This window comes from Homo sapiens, chromosome Y, assembly GCF_000001405.40.
Source record: "Homo sapiens chromosome Y, GRCh38.p14 Primary Assembly".
NCBI lineage: Eukaryota > Metazoa > Chordata > Mammalia > Primates > Hominidae > Homo > Homo sapiens.
Genome location: NC_000024.10, coordinates 20,090,475 through 20,092,779, shown reverse-complemented (window position 1 = coordinate 20,092,779; position 2,305 = coordinate 20,090,475). Strand labels below are relative to the sequence as shown.

Here is a 2,305-nt window from a genome sequence, read left to right as displayed (position 1 = left end):
CGAAGGAAGAAACTCTGGACACATCTCAAGGACCAAACTCTGGACATAACACCTTTATATGCTGTAACACTCAACGTAAAGGTCTGCAGCTTCATTCATTCTTGAAGTGAGCAAGACCATGAACCTGCCAGAAGAAAGAAACTCTGGTCATATCTGAAGGAAGAAACTCTGGATATAACACCTTTAAGTGCTGTAACACTCACCGTAAAGCTCTGCAACATCATTCTTGAAGTGAGCAAGACCATGAATCTGCCAGATTGAAGAAACTTTGGAAACATCTGAAGGAAAAAACTCTTTACATAACACCTTTAAGTGCTCTACCACTCACCACTAAGATCTGCAGCGTCATTCTTGAAATGAGCAAGACCATGTACCTGCCAAAAGGAAGAAACTCTGGACACATCTGATGGAACAAACTCGGAACATAACACCTGTAAGTGCTGTAACACTCACGACCAAGGTCTGCAGGTTCATTCTTGAAGTGAGCAAGACCATGAACCTGAAAGAAGGAAGAAACTCTGGACACAACTGAAGGAACAAACTCTGGACATAACGCTTTTAAGTGCTGTAAAACTCACCGTAAAGGTCTGGAGCTTCATCCTTGAAGTGAGCAAGACCATGAACCTGCCATAAGAAAGAAACTCTGGACACATCTTATGGAACAAACTCTGAACATAAAACCTTTAAGTACGGTAACGCTCACCACTAAGGTCTGCAGCTTAATTATTGAGGAGAACAAGAAAATGAACCTGACAGAATGAAGAAACTCTGGACACATCTGAAGGAACAAACCCTGGACATGACAACATTAAGTACCGTAACACTCACCGTAACGTTCTGGAGCTTCATTGTTGAAGTGAGCAAGACCATGAACCTGCCAGAAGGAAGAAACTCTATACACATCTGATGGAACAAACTCTGCACATAACACCTTTAAGTTTTGTAACACTCACAACCAAGGTCTGCAGCTTCATTCTTCAAGTGAGCAAGACCATGAACCTGCCCGAAAGAAGAAATTCTGGACACATCTGAAGAACCACACTCTGGACATAACACCTTTATATGCTGTAACACTCACCGTAAAGGTCTGCAGCTTCATTCTTTCTTGAAGTGAGCAAGAACATGAACATGCCAGAAGGAAGAATATCTGGACACATCTGAAGGAACAAACTCTGGACATAACACCTTTATGTGCTGTAACAATAACCACTAAATTTTGCAGCTTCACTCTTGAAGTGAGCAAGACCATGAACCTGCCAGATAGAAGAAACTCTGGACATATCTGAAGGAAAAAACTCTGGACATAACACATTTAGGTGCTGTAACACTCACTACTAAGGTCTGCAGCTTCATTTTGAAGTGAGCAAGACCATGAACCTGCCAGAAGGAAGAAACTCTGGACACATCTGAAGGAATAAACTCTGGACATAACACCTTTAAGTGCTGTAACCCTCACCACTAAGGTCTGCAGCTTCATTCTTGAAGTGAGCAATACCATGAACCTGCCAGAAGGAAGAAACTCTGCACACATCTGAAGGAAAAAACTCTGGACATAACAGCTTTAAATGCTGTAACCCTCACCGTAAATGTCTGCAGCTTCATTCTTGAAGTGAGCAAGACCATGAACCTGCCAGAAGGAAGAAACTCTGGACACATCTCAAGGACCAAACTCTGGACATAACACCTTTATATGCTGTAACCCTCAACGTAAAGGTCTGCAGCTTCATTCATTCTTGAAGTGAGCAAGACCATGAACCTGCCAGAAGTAAGGAACTCTGGTCATATCTGAAGGAAGAAACTCTGGATATAACACCTTTAAGTGCTGTAACACTCACCGTAAAGCTCTGCAACATCATTCTTGAAGTGAGCAAGACCATGAATCTGCCAGATTGAAGAAACTTTGGAAACATCTGAAGGAAAAAACTCTTTACATAACACCTTTAAGTGCTCTACCACTCACCACTAAGATCTGCAGCGTCATTCTTGAAATGAGCAAGACCATGTACCTGCCAAAAGGAAGAAACTCTGGACACATCTGATGGAACAAACTCGGAACATAACACCTGTAAGTGCTGTAACACTCACGACCAAGGTCTGCAGGTTCATTCTTGAAGTGAGCAAGACCATGAACCTGAAAGAAGGAAGAAACTCTGGACACAACTGAAGGAACAAACTCTGGACATAAGACCTTTAAGTGCTGTAACACTCACCACTAAGGTCTGCAGCTTCATTCTTTCTTGAACTGAGCAAGACCATGAACTTGCTAGAAGGAAGAATATCTGGACACATCTGAAGTAACAAACTC

At 42.2% G+C, this 2,305-nt stretch overlaps 1 annotated feature.

Moving 5' to 3' along the window:
- Positions 203-1,402: an enhancer, noted in NCBI's record as "BRD4-independent group 4 enhancer chrY:22253264-22254463 (GRCh37/hg19 assembly coordinates)". NCBI's record gives its function as "activates an origin of replication core promoter dependent on BRD2, P300/CBP, MED14 and CDK7 cofactors, and independent of BRD4, by STARR-seq in HCT116 cells {active_cell/tissue: HCT116}" and the evidence as "EXISTENCE:reporter gene assay evidence [ECO:0000049][PMID:35650434]".